Source organism: Homo sapiens, chromosome 9, assembly GCF_000001405.40.
Source record: "Homo sapiens chromosome 9, GRCh38.p14 Primary Assembly".
NCBI lineage: Eukaryota > Metazoa > Chordata > Mammalia > Primates > Hominidae > Homo > Homo sapiens.
In genome coordinates this window covers 99,088,180-99,106,659 of record NC_000009.12, presented here as the reverse complement: position 1 = coordinate 99,106,659, position 18,480 = coordinate 99,088,180, and the positions used below count along the sequence as shown (strand labels likewise).

At 45.8% G+C, this 18,480-nt stretch overlaps 1 protein-coding gene across 28 annotated transcripts in view, besides 2 other annotated features; it reads right to left on the bottom strand.

Annotated features, from left to right (window-relative positions):
* The window catches only part of TGFBR1 (transforming growth factor beta receptor 1), a 50,546-nt gene extending 47,533 nt beyond the window's left edge, over positions 1–3,013 (bottom strand). For 18 of the 28 annotated variants that reach the window (NR_176360.1, NR_176362.1, NR_176361.1 and 15 more), the window contains exon 1: positions 1,358–1,547. Coding sequence is in view for 9 of the 28 variants with exons in the window: in NM_001306210.2 (NP_001293139.1) it covers positions 1,358–1,454 (97 nt within the window). In the remaining 19 variants the exon portion in view is untranslated. Of the gene's footprint in view, positions 1–628; positions 847–1,062; positions 1,086–1,357; positions 1,578–1,933; positions 1,969–2,140; positions 2,212–2,553; positions 2,609–2,918 lie in introns of those variants that run through there. The other 10 variants (NM_001407432.1, NM_001407419.1, NM_001407433.1 and 7 more) reach the window with 7 other exon arrangements.
* Positions 820–1,329: a silencer, noted in NCBI's record as "silent region_20125". NCBI's record gives its function as "represses an Ori minimal core promoter by ATAC-STARR-seq in GM12878 lymphoblastoid cells {active_cell/tissue: GM12878}" and the evidence as "EXISTENCE:reporter gene assay evidence [ECO:0000049][PMID:35858748]".
* Positions 1,420–2,019: a silencer, noted in NCBI's record as "silent region_20124". NCBI's record gives its function as "represses an Ori minimal core promoter by ATAC-STARR-seq in GM12878 lymphoblastoid cells {active_cell/tissue: GM12878}" and the evidence as "EXISTENCE:reporter gene assay evidence [ECO:0000049][PMID:35858748]".

Here is an 18,480-nt window from a genome sequence, read left to right as displayed (position 1 = left end):
TAGCTTTAGCACTTAAGTTATTGGGTACTTAACGTGTCTGTACCCCACTTTGCACATCTGTAAAGTGGGGCAAATGCCACTACTCCTGGGAGTTTACTTGTGGTGATTAAATAATGTAATTATACAATAGTGTATGCATTTACATCGTAGTAATGCACAATACATAGACGGTAGCTATTAGGACTGATTATAATCGTCACCGTCAGTCTTGATTTTTTAAAAAAATTTCAACATCTTTTGTCCAGTTTCAGAAACAGAAATGTACTTTCACTGCATTTTAGTTGCTAACACTGAGGCTGTGTATTTTAGCTTCTAGTGTCTCAGTTCAGCTGCTAACGAAGTTTTTCACTCATCCCTTTGTGGATACCAACCACCTACCCCAACCTGATTTACTATTTTGAAAAATCCAGCCAACAGTCTTCCTTGAAAACCAGCTATACAGATGTCTGAATCAAACTATTAACTGTCACTCAAGAAAAGGAACAACGTGAGTGATGTTCCTTCGAGGAAATAAAAAGCGTTTAATCAATTCACAGTCGTTCCCAAAATTTCCAAAACCCGCAGAATGAGCAAACGTTCAAGTTTCCACTATGAAAACAATCCGTAGCCGTCTGGTTACTGGACTCACTTCAACACTCCCCAGACGCACGAAAGAAGAAACATTCCGCGCATCTCCGCGCTTCCTTCTTCTCACACAAAGCCCCCCTGGCTGGAGGAGCAGCCCCTTCCAGCAGGGTCGGCTCGGGTCGAGCCGGGCGGGAGTCAGGGCGGCCTGCGGACCCAGGGGTCTCACCACACGTCGCCCCCGACTCCCACTGGACGAAGCCCTAGAGGCTCGGAGCTCACACCCCGCCCGGGAGCCGCCTTCCACCCCAACCTCAAACCCCGCCCCGGGTTCGGCAGCCTCTGGCACGGACCCTCTTGGGGCGGGGGTCCCCAGAACAAGGTCACGCCGTGCCCAGGGGGCGGCGGCGGGCAGCCACGGCTCTGCCAGTCCCCGCCGGCCTCGCACTCTCCGCCCCTGGCCCTCGCCCACTCACACCCCAGAGGGCAGCCCCGGACCTCGGACGACTCCGCCCGACTCCACCTCCCCGGGGAGTCCCGAGCGGGGCGGCCTCGGGCAGCCGGACACGTCCGCCCGCGCCCGGACACACGCCCCTGCCCCGCCTCCGCTCCCCGCTTGCGGTTCGCCCGGCAGCCGCCGAGCCGCGCGGCGCCACGAGAGCCCGGCCCGGGCCCCGGCGCCGCCACCTGCGCCCCCGGCCCCGCGCCATGTTTGAGAAAGAGCAGGAGCGAGCCAGAGGCCGGGTCCGGCCCGCGCGCCCCGCAGTCGCCCGCCCGCCGCGCCGCCGCTCACCCGTCGCCCCCGGGAGCAGCGCCGCCGCCGCCGCCGCCGCCGCCGCCAGCACGAGGAGGAGCAGCCGGGGACGCGGAGCAGCGACCGCCGCCTCCATGGTCCCGCCGCCACCGCCTGTGGCCCGGCCCGGCCCGGCCGCGCCGCTGCCTCACCCCAGCAAACCTCGCCTCGCCCCACCTCCCTAGCCGCCGCGGCGGCCTCGCTCCGGCCCTTTGTAACTGCTCGGAGGACGCGCGTCCATTGGCTGCCGGGCTCCCGCCGGCCCCGCCTCCCCGCCGCCGCGAGCTGCCAAGCGGGACCCAGCCGGGAGCCCCGCCTGCGGGCCCGCCAGGCAGCCAATCCGCAGCCGCGAGCGCCGGTTTCTGGCCACGCCCCACGCTCCCCGGGGGCTGGGCCGCCAGACCCCAGCCCCGGCCCGATCGGCTCCCGGCTCCGAGAGGCCGCGTGGGGGCGGGGTCTGCCAGCCCCAGCACCGCTCAGCCGCTAGCCCCGGAGGGCCGGGTAGAGCGATGGGTGTGTCTGTGTGAGTCTCTTTCGGAAAAAGGCTGTGGCCGTTCGACGCTCTTTTCTTCTAACCTCCTCTAGGCGCGGAAGATCTGGTACTGCCTCAGCCCCACCCTGACCCCATTCACAGCTCCGCATTGGCAATCCCAGCACATGCCACCCAGATCCGCTGCAGCGCCAGGCCCCTGCATCCACTTCAACTTCCCCTCTCCAAGTCCACGCATCAACTTCAGCATTCCCCCGAAGATCCCTCCTCAGTGCCCTTCACATGCGACTCACTCTCCTATTTCCTCCTGCTCCCAGCGGTCACCCCAAACCCAGCTCCCCCACCCAGTTCCAAACCCAGAAAGTCCTCAGATCCCAGCGTCAGACCCAGATCCTGAGCCCAAACACACCCCCAAATAGCCTCCCGCCTCCCTCCAGCACAGATCCAGGATGGGGATCCAAGCCGCACTCCTCTCAAACCCCTTCCCGATCCAGGTTGGAAAGGGAGGATCCCCACCCCAACCCCTCAAAGGAGGGGTTCCCCCTTCTTAGCACCCAGCTCCCGCGGGGCGGAGGGGGAGCAGTCATCATTACTTTGAGCTGTGTCTGACACTGCTGTATAATAATCCTGAGGTGTCACTAAAAACCCAAATAAACTCTACGTTTTCATTCTGAATTCCTAATTTACTGCGAGACGCTCCACCCACCTTCCCTCTGCGACGCCAAAATGAGCTCCAGATTTGTAATTCTTCCTGTCAGACTAGTCCTTTCTTCAGACACAAACACAGCCAAGGAGGCTGTTACGTAGAACAGAGAATATTTTTCCGCAGAACCTTTTAAGGAGGAAATTTTATTTTCTGTGTCATTTGAGCTTAGAATTAAATAAACCTTGATAGCAGGAATCAGAATGGTTCTGATTAATGCCAATTTGTGCACTACTTTAGAGTCACTGGGTGAGCATTTTCCCCACCTGTGAAGGCTTCCTTCCGGGAGATGAAAAGGGAAAAGGCGTGGATATTGGAGCTGGGATCTGAGACCCGCGCGCTTTCTCCCTCCTGTCTAGGACACTTACTTAAGCAAGTCAGCTAACCTTTCTGAACCTCCAACAGGCTCAGAGGCCTGCAACTTGCTCTACACCGCAGCTCCAGCAGCCTCAGCAGCAAACTCCCCTCTTGCTCAGGCTGAGGGATTCCAGAGAGATGGCTTCTGGCAGGCTCCAGTCCCAATTTGCCCTCTCAGTTCCAGTTTCTTCAATGGAGATTTGGTGGACTTTGTGCCACCTGAGGTCCCTAGACTGCCTTTTTGCTGCTCTATTTGCAATGTCTTTCATAAGATAAGAGCTAATGAGATTTTTATTGTATGAATGAATGAATGATCTCAGAAAGTGACTGTTTTTCTCTGGCCATTAGCTTCTTCATCTCTAAAATGTAAATAATAATAGTACCTACCCCGTTTATAAATAAAAGGGATTGAATCACTTGTCTTGGGCCCCTTAAATGACGTAATGTGTCTGGTACAGTGTCTGGAACATAGTAAATATTTAGCTAATGCCATTTCTTTGCCCATCCCCTTCCAGCTCTGTATGATTCTAATCAGCATGTATGTTCATGTCAGTCTGTGCCTTTGACGTACGGAGCCTAGATTAATCAGTGTTAATCACACCTCCAGTTCCTTAACATTTTCCGTGGAATTCAGTGGATACAATAGGAAGGAAAAACAGACTATTTTTAAGTTGTATCTTCCTGATACTAGGAGGAAATTTCCATGAGCCACAGATCCATAAATAAACTACACTAGAATGGAACACTAAATTATTAGTTTAAAATCATGGTTCCCAAATTGTAAAGTCTCTCCAATTACCTGGAGAGCTTGTAATAATACAGATTCCTGGGTCTCCCTCGGCCCTAGCAAGTCTGCTTCAGTTCATGTGGAGAAGGTTCAGGAATCTGCATTTGTAATAGACATCCCAGGTGATTCTGCTGCAAGTGGCACTGGGCCCGCTTCAAAAGACACTGCTTTACTTAAAATTCAGTAAATAAAAATGCATGACCTTATTTGCCTTTTGAGAAAGGTTGGATGGGCAGTAGAAAGAAGCCTCTGGCTTTGGAGGCCTACAGACCCGACTTGAAATTCTGGCTGCCACTCACTAGATGTGGGTCTGGGAACACTATTTGACTGCTTTGAGATTTAGCATCCCCCAGGGTAAAGGGAGATACTGTTGTGAGGTCTAAATGAGCTATTGCACATTAAGGAATCTGTCATAAATGTTAATTCCCTTCAGTCTTTACAGACTTACTTGTTGTTTAAAATGCTTACATGTTATTTACTCCAATGTCTTAATTTAAAGGGAAGGAAACTGAGGATCAGTTCCCCAGCAAGTCAGCTGCAGAGCTAGGACTAGGAGTCTCACTCCAGTGCCTTGTACCCTGTGTAATGTTGTCTCTTAATCTTTATGCCAAGGACATTGTTTGCTTTTCCTTTTGGATTAGTTCCTTAAGTAAGAGGATTTCTCCAAAATAGAGAGCAGAGACTGCTTGTCATCTAAACTACACCCATTCTTACATTTGCTTTATAATGGAGTCCTGTTTTTCTTTGGGAAAGCAGATCACCTAGAAAAAATATATATGTCAATTTCCCAGGCTCCTTGTACCTAGGTATGGCCATGTGACAAGAGTTCTGGCCAGTGACATGTAAACAGAAATCTACTTTCCACAAGGCGGAGCCTGTACAAAAGATACTTCCTAGTTAAAAAAAGAAGAGACTCATCATATTCTCTCTTTCTCCCTGGAACACAGTTGCAATGCCTGGAGGTACAGCAGCCATTTTGTAAACATAAAGGCGATAGCCAAAACTGAGGACTGTAGAGAGAAAAAATGGAGAGAGTCTAGGTTTTTGATAAATTTCCTGAACAGTTGCACCAGCTCTATAATGCCTATTTCTTATTATATGAGAAAAATTAATCTATTTTTTATTCACTTTGAATAACTGCACCAGCTCCATAATGCTTATTTCTTATTATATGAGAAAAATTAATCTATTTTTATTCACCTTAGAATGCTTCTATTCTGCTCATTTGTCCATCCTATTTATTGTTGCATATTTTATTTCTATCTTATTTTCTAACCTACAAGACATTATTGACTTCTGCCATTATTAGCTATTGCTAATTCTTGGTGCTCCTAACTGAAAAACAAACCACCTCAAAATTTAGTGGCTTAGAATAATAACCATATATCATCTTTCATGAGACTGTAGGACAGTTTTTCAGGTTTAGGCCAATTTATGCTGATTTCCACTGAGCTCACTTATGAGTCGGTTGTCAGGTGGAAGGGGGTGGAAGAGGGTAATGAGCTAGATCAGCTCCTCCATGTGGATTTTCATCCTCCAGCAGGCTAGCCTAGGCTTGATAACATGACATTCATTATCCAAGATAATGAATGAAAGCGTGCAAGAGCCTTGAGTCTAGGTTTAGAACTGGCACCGGCCAGGCATGGTGGCCCATGCCTGTAATCCCAGCGCTTTGGGAGGCCAAGATGGGGCGATGGCTTGAGCCCAGGAGTTTGAGGCCAGCCTGGTTAACATGGCAAAACCACTTATCTACAAAAAATACAAAAATTAGCCAGGCATAGTGGTTCACACCTGTAGTCTCAGCTACTCAGGAAGCTGAGAGGTTGGAGGATCGCTTGAGCCCAGAAAGTCAACGCTGCAGTGAGCCATGATTACACCACTGCACTCCAGCCTGGGTGACAAGAGTGAAACCCTGTCTCAAAAACAAAACAAAACAAAAAAACATCCACTGGCACAACATCACTTCTACCATATCCCATTGGTTTGGGCATGAACTGGGGCTGAGCCCAAATTCAAAGGGTGGGGAAAAAGACTCCATTTTTTTTGATAAAAAGGAACTGCAAAATCACATTGCAAAGAGGCAAGGATATCAAGAGAAAATAAGTGTGTACATGTTTACGAACACTTTTTTTTCCACCCCCATGACTCATACACCTTCTGCTAGGCCCACCTCCAACATTGGAGGTCACATTTCTTTCTTTCTTTCTTTCTTTTTAAATTATACTTTAAGTTCTGGAGTACATGGGCAGAACATGCAGGTTTGTTACATAGGTATACACGTGCTATGGTGGTTTGCTGCATCCATCAACCCATCATCTACATTAGGTATTTCTCCTAATGCTATCCCTCCCCTAGCTCCCCACCCCCGACAGGCCCCTGTGTGTGATGTTCCCCTCCCTGTGTCCCTGTGTTCTCATTGTTCAGGTCCCATTTATGAGTGAGAACATATGATGTTTGGTTTTCTGTTCTTGTGTTAGTTGCTGAGAATGATGGTTTTCAGTGTCATCCATGTCCCTGCAAAGGACATGAACTCATCCTTTTTTATGGCTGCATAGTATTCCATGGTGTATATGTGCCACATTTTCTTTATCCAATCTATCATTGGTGGGCATTTGGGTTGGTTCCAAGTCTTTGCTATTGTGAGCAGTGCCACAATAAACATACAGGTGCATGTGTCTTTATAGTAGAATGATTTATAATCCTTTGGGTATATACCCTATAATGGGATTGCTGGGTCAAATGGTATTTCTAATTCTAGATCCTTGAGGAATCGCCACACACACATTGTGTCTTCCACAATGGTTGAACTAATTTACACTCCCACCAACAGTGTAAAAGCATTCCTTTTTCTCCACATCCTCTCCAGCATCTGTTGTTTCCTGACTTTTTAATGATCGCCATTCTAACTGGCATGAGATGGTATCTCATTGTGGTATCTCACCAGTGATGATAAGCTTTTTTTCACACGTACAAACACTTTTTAACCACTTTCTCTGATCTTCGTTTTTCTTTTTACCTCTCAGACTTTCTACTTCAAATCACTGTTATTATTCCTGAAGTTTATATTTTAAAATTTCTTTTAGTGAGAGTCTACCAGTGGCAAATAATCTTAGTTGTTGTTCGACTGAAAATGTTTTTATTTAACCCTCATTTTTCAACAATGTTTTCACTGAACATAGCATTCTAGGTTGATAATTGTTTTCTCTCCACAATTGAACGTATCATTTCACTGTCTCTGCCTTCCATTGTTGTTTATGTGAAATTAGATGGTAGTCTAATGGTTTCTCCTTTGTAAGTAATCTGTCTTTTTTGTCTTTTTTTTATAAACTTCATTTTTTAGAGCAGTTTTAGGTTCACAGCAAAATTGATGTGAAATTACATAGTTCTCATGTATTCCCTGACTTCACCCACACTCACAGCCTCTCCCACTGTCAATGCCTCCTACCAGAGAGGTACGTTTGTTACAGTCAATGAACCTACGCTGTCACATCATTACCACCCAAAGTCAGTAGTTCACCTTTGTATTCACTGTTATTGTCTATGTGTTTTGATGAATATACAGTGAGAGTATCATGCAGAATATTTTCACTGCCCCACCCTCAATCACAAAGATTTCCTCCTATATGTCCTTCTTCTAGTTATTTTATAGTTTTACCTTCTTCATCTAAGTCTTTAAGCTATCTTGAATTAAATCTTACGTATGACGTGAGGTGTGAATCAAAGTTCAGTTTGTTCTATACTGACATCCAGTTGATCCAGGATAATTCATTAAGATTTGTTAAGAAAATTTCCCCAATGAACTGCATTGGTGACTGTCAAAAACCATTTGTATATTTGTGGATCTATTTATGGACTCTCTTTTTTCCCCATTGGTCTTCGGTTTATTTTAATGCCAACATCACTGACTTGATTACTATACTTTATGGTAAGTCTCAAAATCAGGTAGAACAAGTTCTCCAGCTTCGTTCTTCTTCAATACTGTTTTGCCTATGCTAAGATATTTATAGTTCCAAGTAAATTTTAGTTCTAGTTTGTCAATATCTACAAAAACCCTGCTATGCTTTTTATTGGAATTGCACTGAACTATAAATCAATTTGTGGAGAATTGACATCTTTACAATATGAGTCTTCCCATCCATGAGCATGGTATATTTCTTCATCTATTTCAATCTTTAATTTTTCTCAACAATGTTTTGTAGTTTTTATTGGCAGGGGTCTTTCATAACATTTGTTAAATTTATTTCTAAGTAAGTTTTATCAAGGATTTGCATTTATTTTTGCCACCTGGACCACTACCAGTCTTTTATTACTCTAAATTATTGACTTGAGTTGTGTTGTTGTTGTTCTGTTGCTGTTGTTGTTGTTGTTGTTTGAGAAGGAGTCTCACTGTGTGCCCCTGGTTGGAGTGCAGTGGCACTATCTCAGCACACTGCAACCTCTGCCTCCCGGGTTTAAGCAATTCTCATGTCTCGGCCTCCTGAATAGCTGGGATTACAGTCTTGAGCCACCACGCCCAGCTAATTTTTGTTTGTTTGTTTGTTTCCTTTTTTAGTAGAGATGGGGTTTCACCAGGCTGGTCTTGAACTCCTGACCTGAGGTGATCCACCCGCCTCAGCCTTCCAGACTTGAGTTTTTTAATTTGTTTATTGTTGGAACCATATAGGTAACATGAATTCGGGCTTTAAGCACCATGGGGGACAGAGAGCTTGTGGTTCCGAATTCTCAGTGATGACATTATTTCTCCTTTTCGGCTAGGCAGCTGGGTTTTTACATCCTCCCAGCAGTTGAAGATTAGTAGTTGTTTCTGGTTCACCCTTTCACTGGAAGTGTAAACCTTGGGGGGGGTCTCATCTTTATGGTGGAAGTGTCCAGGGGCCTTGGATGGCCCCTGATCTTGTCTCCCATTTCCTGTGCCCTGTGAGACCAGACAACAGAAGCTCAAGTTCATCTGGTTCAGTAAATGCCATAAGAACAACAGCCAGTTGCAGTGCTCCTGAGTTCTTTCTTTCACTTAGAATTTTGGCCTGAGAGTCTCCTATTTTCTTGCCATCTCATAAATGCATTTAGGAAGATACATTTCCCTGTATTTTTACTTTTTGTCTACGGAAAGGTCAATCAACTAATGACCAGGAACAAAACTAGTACTACCTAACCTCCTCCATTACACAGATGAACTTAAAAATCACTACCAAGTTCTCTGCCATAGCAGAATACAATTGTAACTGGCATAGGTATCAAAGAGGATCGAAACAAAAGCTATTTTGCCAATACAGTACCAGAGAAATTCAACTTCTGGCATTGTCTCTGCAGCTTCTCAAACATTAAAAATATGCTCACAGGCTGTCTATCCCCATCCCCATCTTTCAAGCTGGTCTCCCCAAATGCTTGGGTTACTTTAGGAAAACGTTTTGTTTTATTTTGTTTTGTGTTTTGTATTGTTTTGTTTTCACACAGATTTTTGTTGTGAATGTCTAATTTTAAATACACTATGGATATAGAATTTGACCTGTGGATAAATACTGTTTTTTTTTTTTGGCTTTGGGAAGTGTATTTCTTATTTTAGGATTAATTTTTATAAATGTCCTATGGATACTAGAAAACAGAAGTGGATTCTATTTTTTGTGCACATTAACTTGTGTGTGTTTGTGTATTTAATTTGTGTGTGAATGTGTATGTGTGTGTTTATTTAGTCCTAGTAGCTAATCCTTTTTAATTTTTTGACTGCTTGATCTGCCAAAGACAGAAAGAGGTGCATTAAGCTCTCCCAACTCCCCACTGCTTTACCTGTTTCCCTGGAGACACATCCTCCGGCCTTCAGCACCCTCCCTTCCTCATCAGAGAACTAAAATGGGATTCAGACTTCCTGGACCCTGAGTTAGGGCTGTGGGCCAGCAGGCTTGAGCATCTTCTCTCTTGTCCTGAGAGGCAGTGCCACAGCTACAGGCTGTGGCTCCATTTGCTGCAGTTCTCAGCACTAATCCTGTCCTCAGACACCTGGACATTAAACAGTCTCTGCCTGCCTTCCTGCGACACAGCCTCCACTAGGCTTCTGCCTGTGTCCTACACTTCTGCTGTGATCCCTTGTGTTATCCACAATTCCGCCAAGTTTGGCCCAACCTCCCTCTTACCATTCTCCCTCCAAGATTGGAATCCCAGGCCCAAATTGCGCCCAGTGGGGGAGTTTCTGCTCCATGCAGACCAACCTCCCTCATGTGCTATTCAAGTACCCACTGCCACTCTCTTTTTGTCTGTTAAAACATCGTGCTTTCTTGGTAGAGTTTCAGAGCTGACAGGCTACATGTCCTATGTCAATCTGCCCTTGTCTGCTGCCTGCCTGGCTAGGTGCATGGCTTCACTATTGTCCTCTACTCTTCCTCCCTGTCAGTTGGCCCTATTCAGTTGCATTGTCTCAGGGAGAGCCTGGCTTTTCCCTTGGTCAGTCAGCAAGATTCCCTTGTGGTCAAGACAAAGTGAGGATTTTCAATAGGTTGCCACTACCCCTTCCTCTTGGCTCAAATTTCTGTTTAATCACATGTTCTGAAAAAGTGTAACGAAAGAAAACAAAAACATAAAAACAAGGCCATAAGACATGGGGCACATGGCCATGTGGCCTCTTTGTAGGAGACCTGAACAAGTTTAATTCTACAAACATACACACACACATTCACTTGCACATTTAAAACTATACATCCAAACAACAGCATTCACATTGGATGAGAGAATTCAACAGAAGCACAGCAGTACTGCAGAGAGCTTAATACAACTCTGTTTGGCAACTGAAGCACTAAAAAAGTAAGCAAGAATAACTACCAAGATTAAATGTACACACACATATACACAGCTCTTCACACACAAATTCACATGCGCAAAAAAACAGAATCTTCTTCCTTTTTCCAGTATCCATGGGACACTTACAAAATTGATCATAAATTAAGAAACCTCAAGAAGTCCCTCTGAGGCAGAAAATAAAGGATAAATCCATGGTTCCTAGTGCATTGAAAGTTGGACATTCATAACAAAAGTTCAAGTGAAAACAAAGCAAAACAGAACATTCAAAAACACTAAAAAAATTTCCTGCAGGAACCCAAGCATTTGGAGAAATCAACTGAAAGAGGGGAGAGGAAAGAGAGCCTGTGAGCGTATTTGGTATTTAGAGATGGGGAGATAACGTCAGAAGCTGAATTTCTTTGTACCGTGTTGTCAAATAGCTTTAGTTTGAATCCCTTCCATACCTACAACAATTAAGACTTTATTCTGCTGCAACAAATACCTGACAGTGACTTTTGTCTGTGTAATGGGGAGGGGGAAGGCAGGCAGGGCTGGTGAATAGTGGGCATGCCAGAGGATCCAGGAGCTCTGACAGTTCAGTATCAGAAAAGCACTTAAAGGTGAGCAGGTTCCCTGCTTTCTGCAGCACAGCCTCCCCTCTATCTAAGTCAGGCAAGTACCAGCCTTGCATACATCCTTCCAACTTAATGGTAAGGGCAGAAGATCCCATCTTCATCTAATTATAGAGTCCTGGCCATTGAGACCAGCCTGCCCAACATGGTGGGAAACCTCATCTCCACTAAAAATACAAAAAAAGTCGGGCATCATGGCACACGCCTGTAATCCCAGCTACTCGGGAGGCTGAGACAGGAGAATTGCTCGAACCTGGGAGGCAGAGGTTGCAGTGTGCCGAGATCGCACCACTGCACTCCAGCCTGGGCAGCAGAGTGAGACTCCGCCTCCAAAAAAATAAATAAAATAGAGTCCTGGCCACAAGGCACCGCTAAGAATGCTCTGGGCCAAAGAAGGATGCCAACTATCTCCTGATGGTCTTCTGTGGAGGAAATGGGAGGTCTCAGAGAGCAGTTTCACTGCCTCACCTGGAAAACCCAGGAGAAGAGGGTGAACTGTAGCAGGCTTGAAATTCCCTGCCCTTTAGTTTGAGCATCCTGTGTTCCCAGTTTCATCTGAATATCCCACTTTTTCAGCCAAATCAACAGGATCTGGGCAGCAGTGGTGGCCCCAACCGGCTTGAAAGTTCCCAGTGGACCCAGACAAAGTTTCCTTTTGTGTACCTTCCCCTGAATGCCAAATGGGTTATTAAGGACATAGTTACATCCCGACCCCAATGACAGGAGCTTACATTTGATTTTATTAAACAAGGGTAGTGTATTTGTTCCAAGCTCTGAGGCAAGAGACCTGACTTCCAATGATTCCTGCCACGAGTTTGCTGTGCAATCCTTCCCTGGAGCTGTTTCCTGCTTGTAGACAGTGTGGAGGGAGGTTTGGGAGAATATAGAGAGCTGAAGCTGCCTTCTAAAATTTGTATTTCCTACATCCATCATCAGAGAAGGAACATTGCTTCCTGAAGCCTCAGAATTATTAGGATTCTTAAAAAAATTTTTTTAAATGTATTTTTTAAAATTTCGAGATAAGATGTCTCTCTGTCATCCAGACTGGAGTGCAGTGGCACAGTCACAGCTCACTGCAGCCTCAACCTCCTGTGCTCAAGCCATCCTCCAAGTAAGCCTCCCAAGTAGCTGAATACAGGTGCATGCCACCACATTCAGCTATTTTTTTTTTTATTCTTTGTAGAGATGAGGTTTCACCATGTTGCCCAGGCTGGTCTCAAACCCCTGGGCTCAAGTGATCTGCCCACCTTGGCTTCCCAAAGTGCAGGGATTACAGGTATGAGACATCACACCCAGCCACGGGACTGGAGTAACCCATTCTTTGGGTTGCAAGAGAAAGGAACCTGACTTGAAAGAGGAAAAAAAAATGTTTTGGCTGTCATAACAGAAAAGGACAAGGGTAGATGATGTCACTGGCTATCTCACACTCTCGTCTCCATCTCTCATCCCAGCCTTTCTCTGTGTTGGCCTTGTTCTCTCCTTCAGACATCTTCTTGTGTGCATTACAGAATAGAGGGAAGGGCCAAGGTGCTTCAGGCTCACCTTGAGCTAGGGAACCCAGAGAAAGAGGCCTTTTCTTGCCAGACATTCTTAGACAAAACCCAAGGGATAGACTTGGGTCCAGTTGGGACCAGGCCCCATCCTTTAGGTGAGGGTTTTTCAACAAAGTGTATTGGCCTTTGGAGTAGGACAATTCTTTGTTACAAGACACTGTCTTGGGTGCTGCTGATGTTTGGCACCCTGGCCACTAAATGTCAGACATGCTCCCCAATCTAATAACAACAAAAATAAAACTGCCACCCTGCTTTTCAAGCAGCAGAGGTATGGGGTTCAGTACAGCCTTATGTTGCAAAGCACTGCCTTGTATCAATCACCAAAGCCAGGTCTTGAGGCACTGTGATTGGCTGAACCTGGGTCATCTGTTTTCTACCGTGGTGGAAGTCAGGTTGGACATGACACTGTGTTTGGCAGCCCCACCAGACCCATACGGCGTGGGTGGTTGAGGTGGAGTCATTTTTCAAAGGAACCCTCATTCTCAGAAGGGATGCTACACAAAGACCAGCAGCTGTTGATTGCCCCATCCCAGAGGGGAAAAGTGAGTGCTCCCACTGGGAGAAAGGGATGATCACTCTCCTCTTACCAGCTGTCCTCCATGCCTCAGCCACTCCACATGCCAAATCCTGGAACTCCATCTCAAAACCATACCTCCTTATTGAGGCATTTGAGGCCCTCCTGATCGCTTTTGTTTTTGACCCCTCCATGTGTTCCCTGGTCTATGATCTCCAAGAGGGTTGAGGCCTGCTATGTCTCCAGTGCTCAACACCAGGGGTAGGGTGGCAGGGGGGTCAGCTCAGAAATGCTGGAACAAACGAGAGCCAGAAGGGAGGTTCTGTGGACTCATCACATCCAAGGCAAATGTCATTTTCCATGTGAGCCCATCAGAACTAGGCCATATGGTGTTTCCAGGAAAGACCAGAGAGGCCCAGAGCCCCGGCCATCTCTGCATTCTGAGAAAAGAAGGCGGGGTTTCTTCTTGAAAAGCCCCAGTGTCTTCCTGGCACCACAGCTGAGTTGAGCTGAACCAAGCTGGGGAGGAACGTGGCTGCAGGAGCGGGACTCTGGGAAACAACTCACCCAAGGCAAAAGCAGAGGCCAAGATGAATTTTTAGGAGAGATTTCAGAGAGCCTGGGCATATGCTGAGCACTGCTCAGATGAGGCAGACCATGCCAGCATCTCCAACTCTGCCCCAGAGTCATATACCCAGCCCCTCAAAGTACAGCTCCTGACTCCTCCTTCATGCCCCAGAATGAAACCAGAACCCCTTCCTCATTTCTGGTAAGATAGTGAGACAAGGAGGTACCTTCCAAAGGAACTTCACTGTGAAGCTAAGGGAAATGAAAGAAGAAAATGCTGGGAATCCACCATCCTTATAGAATGTGTGTCTGAGCTCCTGGAAGGTTCTGCTCCACACCTGATCTTAGTGTTCCATTTACAGAGGACTCCATGTTATTTCTGAGGTGGGCTCTTGCCTCTCGATTCTACAGGCCCTGGGGCTGCACTGTTGTCCCTCCCCCAGCCCTTCTACGTAGGGTTAGGTGGGAAGGGCAGGTGCCCCTGGAGGGACTGGACTAAATAAAGCAGGAGATCTTTCCACTGATCCTTTCTTCTTCCTCCGTCAAGCATTGCTAGATCCCCTGCTCTCAGCTCAACTCTTTTTTTTTTCTAGGCGCTTACTGTTTAGTGAGGGAGATGGCTACATACAATTAATTACCTACTCTAGCATTGTATTAATAACTCCAGTATAGCTGATCACCCCGAGCCTTCTCATCATAATGTTTCATCAAAAGAAACAACAGTCTAACTCCTCCCCTCATACACCAAAAAGTCACTTAAGTTTTTATTGAAAATAACATTATTTATTTATTTATTTATTTTTGAGACGGAGTCTCACTCCTTCACCCAGGCTGGAGTGCGGTGGCGAGATCTCAGCTCACTGCAACCTCCGCCTTCCGGGTTCAAGCGATTCTCCTGTCTCAGCCTCCCAACTAGCTGGAACTACAGGCACACGCCACCAGGCCCGGCTAATTTTTGTATTTTTAGTAGAGATAGGGTTTCGCCATATTGGCCAGGCTGGTCCTCGAACTCCTGACCTTAGGTGATCCACCCGCCTCAGCCTCCCAAAGTGCTGGAATTACAGGCGTGAGCCACCATGCCCGGCTGAAAACAACATTTTTAATGATGCCAGGGAATTTACATTTAAACCTTCTTTCAAAATGTGGTTTATGCCACCCATCCTCTTTCCTGTATGCCTTCTTTCCTTCAAGAGGTCATCTGCCCATTAGAAAGTGTATCCAGTTTGCCTTCTCCCTCCACTTCTCCCACTGCCCAGAGCTCCATTGCCAGGGCCCTGGAAGTCTGGCAGGCCAGTGTAGACCAGGTCTTGGTAGACTAACAGAGGGGAACAAGAGGGAACACTGTTTTCATCTGTGTCCACCACACTGCAGCAGGACAAGCGCTGTGGTATCTGTCTTCTCTCTGACCAATTTTTTCTTTATCCACTCCAGGCACTATTGCTCCCCAGGGTCTGCCCCAGCTCTTCTCCCTTTGGCTAGAACCTCTCCCTGGACAGCCTCAAATGTGCCCCTGGCCTTCCCTGGCATGGACGTGCCAATGATTCTCAAATCTGTTTCCTTAGGCATTCAGCCTCCTAAGTGCCCAGTCTTTTCCATGTGTAAACTACTCCTTGAGGGAACCCAGCGCTTGACAAGGACCTGTGGTCACCTACAAAGCTCTCTTTAAGGTAGCAAAACCATGACTTTTATAAGTAGGTTATTAATGGTGTCACTTAAAATTATCCTGTGTCTTATTTGTTTGTTTTTTGGTCTTTTCTTCTCCCTCCCCAGCAGGCTCTGGTCTGAGGGTGGGGTGGGGTGGACAGTGAATAGCTTTTTTGTGTTTCAGACAAGACAGGGCCTCTCCAAAGCACGTCTTTGTAAGATTTCCAGGCCCATCAAAGGATGTGGTTGGATTTCCTGGAAGATGGATCCCTGGATTAATTGGGTCATGTGTCCCTTGACTGTAGCCAGGGAATGACATGTCCTAGTTGGTCTAGGCATTGGATTGCTGACCACCTCTGAACCGATCCTGGTAGCAACTGGGTTGAAATTACGGTAATTGGTTCAGGCTGTTCATGGCCACTCCTACAGCCCATCCAAACCACAGAATTATTCTACCATAGGGAGAGGTGGAATAGGGGGAAGATGAGCAAGCAACCAATGTCCCTGGCAAGGTGCCTCTTGAGGAGTGGCTTAAAAACATTTTTGAACATAATTTATAGAAAGAAATACACTTTACACTGTGATCTGGGACACACACACACACACACATTTTTCACAAAATAACACTTACGCCTTGCTACCTTGCTACTGGGAGCATATTCTGATCTTTTTGTAATCCTGGGTGCTTGATGAGGTAATGCCCAGTTCTATTTCATTTTTTTAAAAATCCTGGTCTGAACCCACTAAGTTGGCTTTACAACTCATTAATGGGTCATGACCTACAGTTTGAAAAATGTCATTCTTAAGACTTGCACAAACCGCTTGCATTGTTGAAATGATTGTTAAAATGTGGCATAAACTCTCCAAGAATTTGACAGGGAAATGTGTAAGGAAATGGAAATTAGGTTAATGGTAGATCATTAAGGGTGAGGGGGTTGGGGGTGCTTGTCACCAGCGACTCAGAAGCAAGGGCCAGAAAGAAAAGATTTTTGAGCTCCACAAGTAAGGCAGTCACTAGGACTTCCCCCTGAATCTATGTGACTTGTGGCTACAAAGTAAAACTGCCTTTGTAAAAATCATGACAGCAAGAGAAGTCTAGCATGGCCAACTCCATCTTGCTTCTAGCCTCACAACCTGGCTGTTCTCACTCATTCCTGGGTACACCCAGGGCAAGCTAACCATGGGAATAATTGATTTCTAGTTTAACTTGGAAACAAAGAATGATAATCCTTCCTCCCTAAAACTAACCTCCTCCTTGCTCAGGGACCAAAGCCACTTTTGTAAAACAAATGAAAGGCCATGAGATTAGGATTATGGGAGGGGCCTGAATTCTGCTAAAATGTAGGTGTAGCTTCTACAATCCCTTACTGCTCAGGAGTCATGAGGCCAGAAGTCACAAGATATGTGACTTCCAAACTTGCTCCTATAGGTAACATCCCTATTGCAGAAACTAAAATTGGTGTTTTGAGATGATTTTTAGACTTTTTCATTCTGGCAACCAACTGATCCCTCCTTGACCTGTGACTCATGAGTAAACTGGTCCTATGGCCCCCACCCAGAGAAGGATTCCATGCATGAGGATTGTTTTTCATTACCCTAGGATTTCAACCCCAACCAATCAGCAGCACCCATTCCCTAGACCCCTGCCCACAAAATTATCCATGAAAACCTTTACTGCAATAATGCACTCTCCATGAACTGGCTTTATCTGTGCAGCAGGCAAGAAGAACCTGTTGAACAATTACAAAAGGACTCCACTGGAGTAGCAGCATGCGTGCATTGTAGCTAGGTGTTCCAAGATGCTGTGTTCCCATGATTTTTTCTCCCCAGAACCCAATGCCAAACTTTGACCAGACTTCTTCAAGCCCTTGGAAATGATGGTGGGAAGTCAGTTGCTTTCTGGTCATGCTAGAGCCCGGCCAGGCCAAGGACCTACTGTATGTAGGACACTGTGTGTGTACATGGAGGGTGTGTGGGGACAGAGGATGGTGGTAAGGATAAATAAACCATTTACCCATTTATTTAAACTTAAGCTACATACACAATTAAATAATATAGATACATTCATATAATAAAGATGAAATTCAGAATAGTGGTTAGAGGTTAAGATATAGGGAAGGGGCACAGAGAAGCCTCGGACAGTACTAGTAAAATTCTATTTCCTAATCTAATTGGTGGATACATGACTAGTTGTTTTGGTATTCAGTAAACATTAAAGATGCATTGTATACACACATATACACATGCACACATTTGTTGGAATGTAGGACAAAAAATATAAGCCATGGACTCTATGTTTAACGAGCTCACAGACTCAAGTGGAAGGTAGACATAATCAGAACGAATATATTGCACAATGAGCTCACATGAAATCTAAAGAGGCGATTCATTCTGAGTTGTTATATTACCTTGGGTAAGTCATTTTCTTTCTTGAAGCCTTGTACTTCTGACACATTATATAGAGAGATACAAAAATGTTATATATGTTAAATATGTATATTATACATAATAGGCACACACGTATATATACATATGTATAACAGATTTATTGTGAGAATTAACTGATATATAATACATGAGAAAATGACAAACCGTGAAGCACTTTGAAAAAATGTGAGATAATATGAACACTTTGGGCAACTTTGCAACTATCTCTTCTGTGACACTGCCATCCCACACAGTTTTGGGCTCAGGTGGCAGTCTGTAGCAGGCAGGTTGTAAGTGACTGTAAACTACTCTTAAGCTAACATATTTTGTGTCTAGCACAATGAGGGATAGAAATAAAGAAGACACTGGCTATTATTGAATAGCTTGCGATTGTCAGAACAGGGACTTGGAGCTTAAGAGACCCATGGGATGGCTCAGCTACGGGGTGTAGGAGTTTGAACCAGTGGGCTATTTGCAGGGGGCGGGGTAGTCATTAATGCTGAGAGGAGAGTACTGTGCTTTACCTTCCCCGAGGGCTCTCTCAGTCCAGTTAGCAGAGTCTCACTGCCATCATCATGCTGGGCCCTAGCAGGCGCTCCCCTCCTAGTGCTCTGGCCTAAGCAGGGACACAAATGCCTCCCCCTAGTTCTCATCAGCCCAAAGGTAAGGAACACTCTGGCT